The sequence below is a fragment of the Homo sapiens genome, chromosome 19 (genome assembly GCF_000001405.40).
Source record: "Homo sapiens chromosome 19, GRCh38.p14 Primary Assembly".
NCBI lineage: Eukaryota > Metazoa > Chordata > Mammalia > Primates > Hominidae > Homo > Homo sapiens.
Genome location: NC_000019.10, coordinates 18,607,182 through 18,622,837, shown reverse-complemented (window position 1 = coordinate 18,622,837; position 15,656 = coordinate 18,607,182). Strand labels below are relative to the sequence as shown.

The 15,656-nt window shown below is 57.9% G+C and overlaps 1 protein-coding gene across 1 annotated transcript, besides 2 other annotated features; it reads right to left on the bottom strand.

The window, feature by feature from the left end:
* Positions 1,131-1,200: an enhancer, noted in NCBI's record as "active region_14329". NCBI's record gives its function as "activates an Ori minimal core promoter by ATAC-STARR-seq in GM12878 lymphoblastoid cells {active_cell/tissue: GM12878}" and the evidence as "EXISTENCE:reporter gene assay evidence [ECO:0000049][PMID:35858748]".
* Positions 1,799-9,968, bottom strand: TMEM59L (transmembrane protein 59 like). Its single transcript, NM_012109.3, has 8 exons — positions 9,709-9,968; positions 8,822-8,966; positions 8,643-8,734; positions 6,711-6,863; positions 5,736-5,838; positions 4,566-4,683; positions 4,346-4,463; positions 1,799-2,430 (listed from the first exon to the last, which is right to left on the bottom strand). The coding sequence occupies exons 1-8, from the start codon at positions 9,877-9,879 to the stop codon at positions 2,302-2,304; spliced, it is 1,029 nt and encodes a 342-aa protein (NP_036241.1). The 5' UTR covers positions 9,880-9,968; the 3' UTR covers positions 1,799-2,301.
* Positions 8,255-8,775: an enhancer, noted in NCBI's record as "H3K27ac-H3K4me1 hESC enhancer chr19:18724873-18725393 (GRCh37/hg19 assembly coordinates)". NCBI's record gives its function as "activates a minimal SCP1, AML or CMV promoter by ChIP-STARR-seq in naive H9 embryonic stem cells {active_cell/tissue: H9 hESC(naive)}" and the evidence as "EXISTENCE:reporter gene assay evidence [ECO:0000049][PMID:30033119]".

Genomic DNA, 15,656 nt, shown 5'->3' with positions numbered 1-15,656 from the left:
CAAGTGGATCAACCTTCCAGGATCCAGGGTAGAGTGAAGGGTGGAGAGTCTTACACACAGCCCCAGGAGGCATCATTTAATTTTCTGCCCCAACCTGCAGACCCACTGTCACTCCATCAGCCTGGAATTCCTGGGACTCTCCACCCCATTGCCTGTAGGCTGGGGCCATCATGCTCCTGATCCTGAGCTCTGCCCAGGGGATGAGGCCCTGTATCAGTCAGGAATCTCTGGTTTCGAGCAACAGAAACCAACTCAAGTCAACTGAATCTCAAAGCGGAGTTACAAGAAGAATCTGGAGGAGTCTGCAGAACAGACAGGAACGGAAGGGCGTGGCTCCCTTCCTGCAGTCAAGAGGCTGAGATGGGAGGATGGCTTGAGCCTGGGAGGTGGAGGCTGCAGTGAGCTGTGATCACACCACTGCACTCCAGCCTCGGTGACAGCGTAAGACCCTGTCTCATTTTTTGTTTTGTTTTGTTTTGTTTTTGAGACAGAGTCTCGCTCTGTCGCCCAGGCTGCAGGGCAGTGGCGTGATCTCTGCTCACTGCAAGCTTTGCCTCCCAGGTTCACGCCGTTCTCCTGCCTTAGCCTCCTGAGTAGCTGGGACTACAGGCGCCCACCACCATGCCCAGCTAATTTTTTTTTGTATTTTTAGTAGAGACAGGGTTTCACCATGTTACCCAGAATGGTCTCAATCTCCTGACCTCGTGATCTGCCCGCCTCGGCCTCCCAAAGTGCTAGGATTACAGGCATGAGCCACTGTGCCCGGCCGAGCCTATCTCATTTTTTAAAAAATAAATAAATAAAGCTGGCTGGGTGCAGAGGCTCATGCCTGTAATCCCAGCACTTTGGGAGGCTGAGGTGGGCAGATTATTTAAGGTCAGGAGTTCAAGACCAGCCTGGCCAACATGGTGAAACTGCGTCTCTACTGAAAATACAAAAAGTAGCCGCGCATGGTGGCACGCGCCTATAATCCCACCTACTTGGAGGCTGAGGCAAGAGAATCACTGGAACCTGGGAGGCGGAGTTTGCAGTGAGCTGAGACCGCACCACTGCACTCCAGCCTGGGCGACAGAGCGAGACTCTGTCTCAAAAAAGAAAAAGAAAAAGTAGACCGGAAGCCAGGTGGCTACAAAATCAAGTCCTCTTCAAGATGCAATTTGTCCCTTCATAACAGGGACATCAGGCACAGGAAGGGACGCTGAACTGCCCCAGTCAGATGGGTGGCACAAGCCACTTTTTTTTTTTTTTTTTTTTGAGACAGAGTCATGCTCTGTCACCCAGGCTGGAGTTCAGTGGTGCAATCATAGCTCACTGCAGCCTCCACCTCCCCGCCTCAAGCAATCCTCCCACCTCAGCCTCCCGAGTAGCTGGGACCACAGGCTCAAGCCACCACACCCAGTTAATTATATATATATATGTGTGTGTGTGTGTGTGTGTGTGTGTGTGTGTGTATTTTGTAGAGATGGGGCCTTGCTATGTTGCCCCAGGCCGGTCTGGAACTTCTGGGCTCCAGTGAATCTCCTGCCTCAGTCTCCTAAAGTGCTGGGATTACAGGCATGAGCTGCTGCGCCTGGCCTCGAGTCAGTTTTCCAGGGACATCTGTAGCTGGGAGTGTGACCTGGGTTAGACCAGAGGGAGTGTCCTTCTGAGAGGCAGCTACTTTCAGTGCCTGGTGCCACCTGGGTTTCCAGGGCTTTCCCATGTCAGAAAGATCCTGCTCGGCAGGGGTCATAGCCATGCGTGGGCCACACCCCAAGGGCAGACAGACAACCGAACAGAAGCAGGCTCAGCCTGAAACTCTTTTATATACATGGTTTATTCCTCCCCAGCCCCAGACAAGCCCCAGGCACGCTTTATAGGGGCATGGAGATGCCCACACCCTGTCTCTCAGAAGCTGGGTCTCTGGAGACCGGGATGGGGAGAAGGGGGAAGCCCTAGCAAGACGCAGCTCCCCCTCAGCCTCAGCGCCCCCCCCGCAGAGAGGGGACATAGAAGGAAAAAGGAAGGTGACACAGGACTGGGGTTCAAATACTCAGAAAGCCACACAATAGAAGACAAAAAGTAGCAAGCCCCCAAGAAAGCGGGGACAAGGAGGAACCAGTGCCCGATCCCGCCCTCTTCCCAGCTGGGGCACTGCGTCCCCAGGACTCCGTGGGGCAAGGGGTGGGACTGGGAGGAGAGGAAGGATTTGGGGGTGGAGGGGCTCAAGGCTGGACCCACCCTGCCCTTGGACTCCTGGGCTCAGGGCAAGTGAGGCCCGAGGGGCCCCCTGCAGTTGGCAGTGATGGGGCCAGTGGAGGCCTACAGCTTGGTCAGGTCCAGCTTCAGCTTGTAGGGTGGTAGGCTGTCCTCACAGGCGTGGGACGGCGGCGGGTACAGGGGCCAATCGGGCTCCATCATGAAGCCCTTGTGCTGCTCCAGGGTCAGAGGCTGCAGGAAGAGAGGGGAGGAGGGAAGTGGAGGGACGGGGAGAGGCCGAGCCCCCAACCCTGACTGTCTCCTTCCCACCTCTGATTGTTTTATTTTTTTTCTTTTTTTGAGAGAGTCTCTCTCTGTCACCCAGGCTGGAGTGCAGTGGCGCCATCTCAGCTCACTGCAACCTCCGCCTCCTAGGTTCAAGCGATTCTCCTTTCTCAGCCTCCCAAGTAGCTGGGACTACAGGTGCACGCCACCACGCCCAGCTAATTTTTGTATTATTAGTAGATATGGGGTTTCACTATGTTGGCTAGGCTGGTCTCGAACTCCTGAAGTGATCTGCCCACCTCAGCCTCCCAAAGTGCTGGAATTACAGGTGTGAGCCACCACACCTGGACTTTTGTGTGTGTGTGTGTGTGTGTGTGTGTGTGTGTGTGTGTGTGTGTGTGATGGGGTCTTCTCTGTTGTCCAGGCTGGAGTATAGTGGTGCCATCACAGCTCACTGCAGCTTCGAACTCTCAGGCTCAAGTGATCCTCCCACCTCAGCTTCCTAAGTAGCTGGGATCATAAACATGCACCTCCACGTCTAGCTAATTTTTTTTTTCTTTTTTTTTTTTTTGAGATGGAGTCTCGCTCTGTCACCCAGGCTGGAGTGCAGTGGCGCGATCTCGGCTCACTGCAAGCTCCTCCTCCTGGGTTCACGCCATTCTCCTGCCTCAGCCTCCCGAGTAGCTGGGACTACAGGCACCTGCCACCACGCCCAGCTAATTTTTTGTATTTTTAGTAGAGATGGGGTTTCACCTTGTTAGCCAGGATGGTCTCAATCTCTTGACCTCGTGATCCGCCCACCTCGGCCTCCCAAAGTGCTGGGATTACAGGCATGGGCCACCATGCCCAGCCACATCTAGCTAATTTTTAAATGATTTGTAGTGACAAGGTTTCACTATGTTGCCCAGGCTCTGGGCACCACAGAGGTGTCACCAACACACCTGGGCATGATAGAGGTGAGGCCAACACCACAGAAGTGTGGCCACCTCTGACTTCATGTCGCCCCAACTAAGAGTGGATTTTCTTCCCACCAATTCAAAGGGCAGTGAAGAAACTGGCCCAAGTCATGCAGCAAGTGTGAGGTCCTGGCTGGGTGAGGTGGCTCATGCCTGTAATCCCGGTATTCTGGGAGGGCAAGGCAGGTGGATCACTTGAGCCCAGGAGTTCAAGACCAGCCTGGGCAACATAGTCCCCATCTCTACAAAAAATACAAAAATTAGCGGGGCATGGTGGCACGTGACTGTGGTCCCAGCTACTCAGGAGGCTGAGGCAGGAGGATTGCTTGAGCCAGGGAGGCCGAGGCTGCAGTGAGCTGTGATCATGCCACTGCACTCCATCCTGGGTGAAAGAGTGAGATCCTGTCTCAAAAATATATATATAGGCCGGGCGCGGTGGGTCACGCCTGTAATCCCAGCACTTTGGGAGGCAGAGGCGGATGGATCACCTGAGGTCAGGAGTTCAAGACCAGCCTGGCCAACATGGTGAAACACCGTCTCTACTAAAAATACAAAAATTAGCTGGGTGTGGTGGCCCGCGCCCATAGTCCCAGCTACTTCGGAGGCTGAGGCAGGAGAATTGCTTGAACCCAGGAGGTGGAGGTTGCAGTGAGCCGAGATGGTGCCATTGCACTCCAGCCCAGGTGACAGAGCAAGACTCCATCTCAAAAAAAATATATATATATATATTATATATATATATATACACACACACACACACACACACACACACGTATATGTATATATATGTATATACATGAAAAAAGAAAAAAATGTCTGAGGTCCTGGCCTCCATGGGAGCAGGTGGCCAAATCCAGGACCAGCAAACAGCTCTCTCTGCCTTCACCCCCTCCCTCGGCCCAGCGCCATTCACAGATCCCACCCACCTGGAACTTGAGGTGCTGGCCAGGCGCGGTCACCAGGGTGGAGCAGCTCAGCCACAGCATCACCAGCACGGAGAGGAAGAGGCAGCAGGCCAGGATCCAGCGAGGCAGACCCGAGCGCCTGCCCCGCCCGGCAGGCACCACTCAGCTGCCCAGGCCGGGACCAGGGAGACCCGTACCTCCAGTCCCACCCCCCTCCCACCCCCAAGGTCCTGCCACCCACCGGGACATGCAACTGAGGAAGTCATTGTCCTGTGGCTCTTCAGACTCCACCTTGGCCTTGCTGCTGGTCTTGACTCGGATCTTGGCCTTCCTCACCTTGTCCAGGGGGCCTACAGGGTCTGAGAGATCAGCTGCCACTCAGCGACCACCAGGTCTTTGCTAAGAGGCCACAATAACCATGACCAGGAGGGAGGAGGTCAGGACCTGGGGCATAGAGTCCTGGAATGGAGATCAGAGCCCTGGGAGATGGACCACAGAATGCTGAGACAGGGACCATGGAACCCTGGGAGATGGATCCTAGGAGATGAACCATGCAACCCTGGGGGTGAACTGCAGAATCCTAGGAGATGAACCATGGAACCCTGAGAGATAGACCAAAGAACTCTAGGAGATGGACCCTAGGAGATGACCCTAGAAGATGAACCCATGGAACCCTGGGAGATGGATCCTAGGAGATGACCCTTAGGAGATGAACCCATGGAACCCTGGGAGATGGAACATGGAACCCTGGGAGATGGAACATGGAACCCTGGGAAATGGACCATGGAACCCTGGGAGATGGACTGCAGAACCCTGGGGGATGGGCCACAGAACCCTGGGAGATGAACTGCAGAATCCTAAGAGATGAACCATGGAACCCTGAGAGATGGACCAAAGAACCCTTGGAGATGGACCCTAGGAGATGACCCTAGGAGATGAACCCATGGAACTCTGAGAGATGAACCATGGAACCCTGGGAGATGGGCCACAGAACCCAGGGAGATGGGCCACAGAACCCTGGAAAGTGAACCATGGATCCCTGGGAGGTGGACCACAGAACGCTGGGAGGCGGAACACGGAACCCTGGGAGGTGGCCACGGAACCCGGGAGGTGGGCCACGGAACCCTGAGAGGTGGACCACGGATCCCTGGTAAATAGACCATGGAACCCGGGGAGATGGACCACGGAACCCTGGGAAGTAGACCACGGAACCCTGAGAAGTGGACCATGGAACCCTGGGAGGTGGACCATGGAACCCTGGGAAATAGACCATGGAGACCTGGGGGATGAGCCATGGAACCCAGGACTTGAGAGATGGAGATCCCGATCCTAGAAGGTCTGTTTGCCAGGCCGACTCCTTGTGGCAGTGGGGCCACCCATGGAAGGAACACTGGTCTAGGTTGCACCTTACCCACGTGCACCTCCAGGGCTTCAGGGTGGGAGCCTCGCCAGGTCACCTCCACGCGCTGCAGACGGCCCCCCTGGAAGCCGAGGCTCTCCACTATGGGCTGAGTCTGGGCCAGGAACAAGACAGCACAGAGAGGCTTGTGAGAACAGCACCCCTGGGCCCAGGCAGGCCCTCTGTGACTGCCATGTCCCACGCCCAGCTGATACCCAGTTCCCCTGGGTATCAGGGGTGGGCTTGATGTCAGGGATGTTGTTTTCTGCTTTCATGGGCTCCTCCATTTGCCTTAACCCCATCCTTTAGCTCCAGAAGTAGGAACATGATCCAGACCAAGCCAGTGAATTGCCTGAGAGATGGTCATATGATCCAGCCAGGGCCAATCAGAGTAAATCCCAGCTCAGTTAAAACCCCAGAGGGAGCCGGGGCAGTGGCTCATGCCTGTAATCCCAGCACTTTGGGAGGCCGAGGCAGGTGAAACACCTGAGGTCAGGAGTTCGAGACCAGCCTGGCCAACATGGCGAAACCCCGTCTCCACTAAAAATACAAAAATTAGGTGGGTGTGGTGGTGGCCGCCTGTAATCCCAGCTACTCAGGAGGCTGAAGCAGGAGAATCACTTGAACCTGGGAGGTGGAGGTTGCAGTGAGCTAAGATCATGCCATTGCACTCCATCTTGGGCAACAAGAATGGGAGTCCATCTCAAAACAACAACAACAACAACAAAAAAAAACCACAGCGTTTGTAACCTAGAGCCTCTGGCATCCACCTTACTGCCAAGAAGAAGTAAATGCCTGGGAATGAAGCCACCACAAAAGAAAGCAGAGTCAAGGCATGGAGTGAGACACTGAGCCCCTGGATCCAGCTGTGCCTGAAGCTCGCCCACTGTGGACTTTGCATCTCATGAGCTAAGAGCCAATGCATCCCATCTTCTTACCCTGCCCACCCATCTGCCACTCTGGCGTGGCCCCTGTCAGAGGTCTCACCTGAAACACCACCACTTTCCCATTGTCAGTCTGCAAGTAGTATGTCCAGGTGGAGGAGACAAATCCCTGGGCTGAGTTGACAAGGTCATTGCAGAGGGTGGAAAACAAGTCCAAGAGGGAGAGGGCCCCACTTGGAGCCTCCAGGACCTTTCTCTGGTGAAAAAAGGTCCAAGACACAAAGATGGCACCGAAATAGGGCATTAACCAATGAATGGGAGGGGGCAGGATGTGGTGGCTCACGCCTGTAATCCCAACACTTTGGAAGGCTGAGGCAGGCCGATCACTTGAGGCCAGAAGTTTGAGACCAGCCTGGACAACATCGTGAAACCCTGTCTCTACTAAAAATACAAAAATTAGCCAGGCATGATGGCGCACGCCTGGAATCTCAGCTACTCCAGAGGCTGAGGCAGGAGATTTGCTTGAACCCAGGAGGCAGAGGTTGCAGTGAGCCAAGATCACACCACTGAACTCTAGCCTGGGTGAAAGAGTGAGACTCCATCTCAAATAAATAAATGAATAAATAAACTAACAGGAGAGGAGCTAGGAGAATTCACTTGGATTGGATGTGGCTAAGTGATTTGGGCCAATAGGACTTCTTATAGTGAACACAGATCTCAGCGTGGCAGTTGGCTTCCTGTGTACCCTTAGGGAAGTGGATTGTGCTCTCTGAGCCCTAAAATGGGTATCGTTCTCTTCCTTCATGGAGTAGCCATGAAATTTCAACTAGAGGATGCCTGCCAGGTGCCTGGCACGGCACAGGCACTTAATGCGTAGTAGTCCCTATTACTAAAAATATCATCATCCTCATTATTCTTATTTTGACAGCGTCAAGACGGAGGTCTGATGGCCGGCCATGGTGGCTCATGCCTGTAATCCCAGCACTTTGGGAGGCCGACGTGGGAAGATCACTTGAGGTCAGGAGTTCAAGATCAGCCTGGCCAACATGATGAAACCCTGTCTCTCCTAAAAATACAAAAATTAGCCGATTGTAGTGGGGGGTGCCTGTAATCTCACCTACAAAGGAGGCTGAGGCAGGAGAACCACTTGAACCCGGGAGGCGGAGGCTGCAGTGAGCCAAGATTGTACCACTGCACTCCAGGCTAGGCAACAGAGCAAGACTTCATCTCAAAAAATAAATAAATAAATAAGAGGGAGCTCTGAATTGGAAGGGCTGACAGTGCAGTGAGCTTTTCTGAACAGCAGTGAAAGCTGGGAAGGGGTGGAGGAAAATGGGGGAAGTGGGGAAAGGGCTTTCTGGGGAGTCCCAGCCCCTAGGTCTCTGGCTATGCTACATGATTTTCTGTGCCTCAGTTTCCCCATGATGCAGCATTGCTTGGACTACAATAGATGAACCGTTATTATTTCTCCCATAAGGCAGTGTGTGCGTGCTTGCGAGGCAAGCCTGCTCTACCCTGAGCCGCAGTTCTGAGCCCCTCCAGGTGACAGTGACCACCAGCTCATCACAGGGGAAGGGCTTAGACCAGCACCTGGCAGCTCTGGGGGCGCCTAAGAGGAGTGAGGTGAGGAGTGGCCACAGCTCTGGTGGCTTCAAATCTCGCCCCTTGCACAGCCCTGTGTATGACCTGGGAGGTTGCCCCCTGGGCACTAAATGGGGGTGACATTGTCCTTTGTGCCTCCAAGTGACACAAAAACATTTGGGACAGGTTGAAGTCAGGCCCGAACCAGGACAGATGTTTGATAAATGATGGCTGTTTTCTGCCACTTATTCCTGAAAAGGTGGTGGGGCATGGGGGGCGTTGTTGCATGTAACTAAGGCTGGAGACATGACGGGGCTGGATGGAGGTTGCCCTGCAGGCCTGGTATAGAACGCAGAGTCTGGCAGAGCCTCTGCACGTGAATGAAGATTTCCCACGGGGTGAAGAGGGTGGGGGTATTGGGAAAAGGGACCCCAGGCCGCAGTGGGAGGCCCACCTTCTGCTCCGGCTCAGGCTCCGCGGGCTGGCTCCAGCAGCCGTGGCTACAGGCCTGCTGCTCTGCCTCCTTCACATAGGCTTCCACGCAGGCTGTGGGAGGTGGGAGCGGGTGACTGGGGACGGCCCTTCCCAGGCCACCTCTCCCCACGCTGGCCCACCCTGCCGGCGGGCCCTCACCTGCTTCACACTCAGTTTGGGTGGCATTGGGCTTGGAGCTTCTGGCCACAAATCGGCAGATGGAGAAGAGGCGGCAGCCACGCTCGCAAGCGCTGATCAGAACGGCTCTGTCATAGGGAGACTCGGAGGCGCCCTCCAGCCCCGCCTGGGGGAGGGGAGGACAGGGGGCTCAGGCCATGGGGAGGGGCAGGAGGAGGGTGGGGGGACCGGAGCATTCAGCAGAGGCAGGGAAAGGCTTCCCCGCTCCCCACGACATCTAGCCAGATGGAGATGAAGTTGGGAGAGGCTACAAATATTAGTGGGGGCTCTTAGCTCTGAGGAGGGAGATGGGGAGGGAGCTTGAGAAGAGAAATGGACAGTGAAGGTGGAGAGAAATGAGCCTTCCCCCCACTAGGTTCCAGGGAGGAGGGGAGACATGGAGAAGGATTCTCAGACCTGGAGGAGGAGGGGGAGGCTCAGAGGAGGGGGTTTTGGTCACACGCAGATCAGGCTTGAATCCTGGGGAGTGGTGGTATGAGTAGGGGCTGGTAGCTCTGAGTGGGGAGGGAACACGATGTGGAGGAGGAGGAATGAGGTGGGGGGACCATCAGGCCTGAGGGAGCTGGGGGTTGGGTGCTAGAGGGTCCTTACCCAGCAGAGTGCGGAAGGAGCCCGGGAGGTGGTATCGGCCCCTTATCGCAAGGACCTGCATCCCCAAGCACTCCCCCATCAGAGGGAACCCCAGCCCGTCAACTACTGGAGAGATCTCCCCATTCCCGACCCCCACCTCCCCACGGACACCCCCACCAAAGTCTCCTGCTGTCATCCAAGAGAAGCCCATCCCAACGCCTCCTCCTTCGGAGAGATCCCGCGTCCCCCGCTGGCACCTGGCACCGCACGCGCCTCACCTGCGAGGGCTGCGGGCCGAGGTCGCGGTCGCGGCACCGCAGCTGGCAGTTCTGCGTGTCCCCGAGCTGGGGGGCGAAGGGATCGCGGGCGGACGGCGCGGAGGCGGCGGGCGGCGACGCCAACAGCAGCAGCAGCAGCAGCGGCGGTGGCATCAGCGCCACCGCAGCCATGGCCGGGCGGAACGCGGGGGGCGCGGGGGACTCCAGCTCAGGCCGGGCACGGAGGATGCAGCGGCTGCGGCGGGGACCGGGGCGCTGACGTCACCCGAGCGAGGCAGCCTGGGAAGCGGGGGGTGGGAGATGCGGAGAGCGGGCGGGGTAGCTGCGCTGCGGCACCCGAGGCGTGCGGGTCGGGCGGGGCAGGTGCATCGCGGCCCCCACCGTCTATCCCATCGCGGGGGTCCCAGGACACCTCCCTGGTGCCCACGGGCGGGGGATCTCTGCTGGCGCTTGGGGCCAAAAGGAAATATATAGGGGGATGGGATGGAGGGGACTATTCCCCAGGGGTGTCGAGGAGAGCGGAGAGCTTGGCGGAGGAGGCGACGTGTGAGCCGACCACGCGGGAGAGAGGAGAAAGGGGTGTCCAGGCTACAAGGATCAGCGAGGATCCTGAGAGAAAGAGCTTGTTGCAGGAGGAGGGAGGGCGATGGGGCTGGAGTCCAACCAGGGAACGGAGAGGGAGGAAGGTGAGAGCCGCAGGACCCGGCAGCTGAGTCCTGGCATCTTCTCTTTTGACACCCAGGTTAGAAAGGAGACAACTTGCGCGCAGTTTGCCTCCTCCGGGAAGCCCTCTGAGCCCCTCCCTTGCTCCTTCAGCCTCGCCTCCCTCTGGCCCAGCCCTGATCCACTGACCTAGGGAATCTGGCCCTGTCTCCCCAAGGCTGGAGACCCCTGGGCTGGGGCTTAGTGGGAGGGGACACAGAGGTATGCTCAGGAGCAAGGGGAGGGGGTGATGCTGACATGTCTAATTCTCATGGGAAAACGGGGCAAATAGCGACACTTCTGACTTCCATAACCATCACACCCCAGGGCGATGGACTGTAGCCCCAGGAGCCGAATCTCGGTTAGAGGGTACCCCCAGCTTCCTCTCCGCCAGATAAGGGAGTGGGGACGCCCCTCTAAACCCGGATCCTCTGCAAAGATGCCCCCGCTTTCGCTGGCATGCCTGGCGCAGGTGCCTGCAGCGCCGCGCAGCAGCCCGCAGGTCCCCCACCTACGCTCCGCCCCCGCAGACGGGGCGGCAGCCTCGCAGGGTCTGCGGGTTAGAGGGCGGCTCAGGTTTCGGCCTGGGAAGAGGGTGTCCCGGGTGGGGGCCCGGCGCACCCCCTACTCTGGCCTGCGGCCGCGCTTTCATCTCAGCGGCCCCCGGCCGGCCCCCACGTGGCTTAATCAGGCGCGGCTGTGCCTGGCGGACCCCGAACATCTGGATCCCGGTGCGGCCCCTCCCCCGCCCCGCCCCGCCCCTCCCCTCCCCTCCCATGCTAGGCCGCTGCGACCCGGCGGCGAGGGCCTCCAGCCCGCAGTTTGCGCCAGAATCCAGCAGGAGAATTCCGCTTCTAACCCACCCGCGCGCCAGGCCCGCACCTTGGGAAACAGCCCTGTGCGTTATGACCAATACTGTCCCCCATTTCACAGGTGGGAAACTTAGGCTCCGGGACGCGTTGGCAAAGTCAGGATTCAAGCCCACACATGCTAATTCCAGAGGCCCGCGCGCGCCTAACCCCTCCACAATTACTGTCTTTCATTCATTCCAACGAAACACTTTTTCTTGCAACAACCGTATAAGACAGGTACCGGTAGCGTTGCCCTTTTATATGGGTGAGGAAACTGATGCTCAGACTGCAAAGTGGTTCTGTCCAGGTGACAGGGAGAGAAGCAAAGAAAAGCCGGCAGAGCCCTGCCAATGATGGGAGGTGACCTTTGGGCATTGCTTAAAACGCATCAGGGAGGAGGGACACCCCGCGCCCTTTTGCAGAAGGAGAAACTGAGGCTGGAGGAGTGGGTCGATCACCCAGGTCGCCTGAGGGGAGAAGGGAAAGAGGCTGATTGCCGCACACCCAGCCCCCTTTCCGCTGCACTAGGCCGCTGGGGGGGTGAGCGGAAAGAGGACTTGACCCCGGCCCCCAAGGTGAGCCCCCGCGCCCCTCCTGCTGTTCCCGGGGGAGCCGGTCCAGGTGAGGGGCGGGAGGGCCGGCGGGCGGCCAGGGTCGGGTTTCAGGAAATCCGCCGACATTCCTTCGGGGCTTAAGAGGGAAAGTTGACTCGGCGCCGCCCTCGCCCCCCCCCCCACTTCCTACCCCCCGGGGCGGCCTGGCTGGGGGCGGCAGGCGGGGGGCGCTGAGGCCGGCCTGGGCGTGAATCAGCGGCAGGCCAGGCGTCCGGGAAGCCACAGCAGCCGAGGTCAAGGCGGGCAGCGGACAAGCACCCTTTGTCCCTTGCCGCCCTCACCACGACCCTGCTGACCCCCACCTCCAAGCAGGGTACAGGCCAGGGAGGAGGCAGAGCACCATGGCGCCGGTGGTGGTTGCTGAGGGTTGTTGGGGGAGGACGGAGGGATGTGGCTGTCCCCCTAAAGCAGCTGGTGCCTCCTGGGACCCAGACTTCAGAGGCTTCTCAGGGTACAGACGGGCAGGGAAACTGGCCTCCCTGGGGCAGGCCTGCAACTTCCCAGGCAGGTCCCCTAGGCAGGTCTGCAACTCCCCAGGTCCCGCCTCCAGTGCCTGAAGTCCAGTGTGCATTACACTGAGCACCCAGGCATTGCTTCTCCCCAGGCTCAGCCTCCAGGGCAGAAATTATAAAGCCTAGGTACACACGGGCCCCACTTTCCTGTGCCACAGACCCTGAACCAGGTGTCCAGACCCTCACTGCCCCTTAATTCCTGAAAGCACCTGCCTGGAACACCAGGTAGCTAATCCCATACTGGGGAGCCCTGAGCACGGGGCTTTCAGAATGGGAGAGACAGCTCTCAGCCTTCCTCACTCCCAGTGGTTGTGGGTCCCCACAGGACCCTGAAGGTGCCATTTCCACTGCCCCCTCCCTGGTGCACCCTCAGTGCCCTGGAATCACGAGGGAGCTGGGGATGGAGGCCCCCCCCCCAACCTAATACCTCTCATCCAGAGGTGACCTTGGAGTGGAGGGTGCAGGACTAAGGAGGGGTCCCTCCCCCAGCCCAAGGGGAGGCCCTCCCTCTGCCCAAGGGGAGGCCCTCCCTCCTTCTGCCCCTTACACATTCCCAGCCAACTTCAAGGACTTGGGTCAATATTTGCCAGAAGTTCCATTGACGCTAGCTCCCTTTTGTCCTCAAGGAGATAATGGAACTGGGGAGTAAAGGGTTAAACTTCTGGGGGCCCTAAGGGCCGGGAAGGATGCACTCTGGGGTCAATTCCCTTTCCCTGAAGTCAAAGGTGTGGGGTAAAGATCACCCAAGGGCAGAAGTCACACTCCAGGGTGGGGCTGGGCAGGATTGGAAAATGGTCCTTCCCTTCTGTTGGTAAGAACAAGAGAGGGATGTCTACTGGCTAGGGTCACACAGCAAGACACAGAGTGTGGGCCAGGCTAGGACCCCAGGCAGCATGACTTGCTAGGACTGAGTTTTCTTGCTACTTGGAGGGAGTAAGAGTTCTCCATCCTTTACTTTTACAAATATTTAGTGAGTGCTTCGCTTTCAGCCCTCACTGGGCCCACCACTGGGGTCCAAAGGGGCTGAGGCTGCCCACAGTCTAAAGAAAATCAGTTGCACAAGAAATGAAATGGTTGGAAGAGTTGTGTTTCAAAAACAATAAAACAAAGTGAAGGAGAGGGAGAGTGCTGGGGGAAGGGTGGAGGGCCTCTCTGAGGAGGTGGCACTAATCCTGTGAAGTGATGGAAGAGAAAGGGCCAACTGGGGAAGATGTGGGGAACAGCATTCCAGCAGAGGGAACAGCCAACACGCAGAGGCCCTTCTATAGTAACAAGCCTGGTATGTTTTGGGAAACAGGGCTCCAGTGGCTGGGGCGGAATGAGGGAGAGGAGGGGGAAGAGGAGAGGGAAGAAGAGGAGGGGAGAGGATGGCGAGAGGGTGGCAGGACAAAGATCTGCTTTTTCTTCTTTTAAAAGCTCCCTCTGCCTGGTGTGCCGAGAAAGGCAGAAGGGTTATCAGGGAGGCCCTGGAGGAGGCCGGGAAGCATCCCTGAGGGAGACCGTGGGGCCTGGATCTGAATGGGGTGGGAAAAAGGGGTCAGCATCTCAGAATGGAGATGTGTTTTAGAATCAGAGCCAACAGGATTTGCTGATGAATTGGACATGAGGGATGAGCAAAGGAGAGAGTTGTCACGTGCGCTTCCAGGTCTCTGGCCTGAGCACCTGGATGGATGGGAGAGCCCTTTCCCAAAACCAAAATGACTGGAAGAGAAGCAGAAATGGAGGGAGGAAAAAATCAAGGTTTTGCTCCAGAAGCCTGAAGTCCTCCCAGGAGGGAGTGAGGCGTCTCTATCCACACAGAGAGCATCTGCAGACAGGAGCCATGGGGGAGTAGTGGTGAGTATCCTAAAAACTCAATTCCAGCCAAGGACTGCCACCTCCACTTAACCCTCTGGGTCCCCTGGCAGGTGGGACTATGGCTCCATGTTTCAGAGGGGACAAGCAGGGCTGGGGGTCACCTCTGCTCCAGGATATCCTCCAGTGCTGTGCTAAGGGCTTGGATTGTAGAGACTTCTGCTGCCCTGCGTCTTCCCACAGAAGCTCCTAGACTGGGTGGTGCCCACTGTGCAGAGGAAGAAACTGAGGCACAAAAGGCCTGGTTTCCCGAAGTAAATGGCAGCGTCTCTCCTTGTCTGTCTTCTCCATCCAGAATTCAGATGGAGCAGGGGCGCCCTGGGCCCCTATAGGCTCCCATCCCCCAATCTTGTTTTTTGACAGTCTGGAGTCTGAACTGGAGATTTAAGTAGGAGAGGGTGGGGCTTCAGTCTTGGGCAGACAAATGGGGGCTCCTGAGCCCCCCTCAGACACTTTTACCCCCTTGGCTGGTTGGGGACCAGGAGAGAGAATCCAGGCCTCTAAGGGACTCCTGGAAAAGGGGACTTGGAGCCGTTCCCTTCCCTGGGCGCTGCAGCTGGGGGCGGGGCTGCGACCAAAAGTGGGTAATTGCACCCCCCAACTCTCATTTCAGGCACCCCCATCCGCAGCAGCCTTGGAGGCCAGGAACCCTTTATTCCTGGGCGCCCGCATCGGGTGGGGACCGGGAGGAGGGAGATGAGACGCCCGGACCGGGAGGGGTCCCGAAACTCGAGCAATGGCCAAAAATAATAACACGGAGAAGGCTCTTTGCGCAAAAGAAGGAAGACAAACTATGCGTCGCTCCGGGCAGCCGGCGTTACCTGGAGTCGGCGGGCGGTGGCCGCCGAAGCGATTACTCACCGCGTGGCGCACCCCACCCGCGGGCCGCTGAGTGGATTTTTCCGTGGCGGGGTGTGAATAGGTCCCGGGGAAAGAGCTTCTTACCGCTCTCCTCCTGGGAATCCCTCTTACTGCGGTGCGGGACCCAGTTCCCGCGCAGGCCTGGGTCCCGGCTCCCACAGGGGACTACATCTCCCCGTCTGCCCACGCAGGAGCTCCCTCCCGAGGCCCCCGGGGCGCCCAGAGCAACCTCAAACCCATCCCGCGCGCGAAGGGGACAGCGCAGCCAGGGCGAAGGCGAGGGACTCCGTGCCTTCCTGCTTTTTCTCCTTTCTTCCAGCAAAGCCTGGGGCCGAGGCTACTCGCGGAGAATCGAAAAGAGGCAGGATGAGGTGGGAGGGCTGGAACCCGCGCGCCGAGGGCGTGGGGCTGGGGGTGACTTTTAGGCCCCTGGGAAGGCTGAGGGGCTGGAGATGGGGGTAGGCGGGACTCAAGGACCGCTCGGTGGGGGGGGCGGGGCCAGAGCTGGGGTGGGGGCCGAGACAGAAGATTGGGCCGTGGAAGGGGGAATGGAG

Bases quoted from the DNA above. Each gene is read 5' to 3' on its own strand.
- TMEM59L (NM_012109.3), bottom strand. From the start codon at position 9,879: ATGGCTGCGGTGGCGCTGATGCCACCGCCGCTGCTGCTGCTGCTGCTG. The intron at 4,684-5,735 runs GTAAGGTGCAAC...CTGATCTCTCAG, and splicing joins AGCCCTGGAGGTGCACGTGG to ACCCTGTAGGCCCCCTGGAC. The intron at 2,431-4,345 runs GTGGGTGGGATC...CTCTTCCTGCAG, and splicing joins GCCAGCACCTCAAGTTCCAG to CCTCTGACCCTGGAGCAGCA.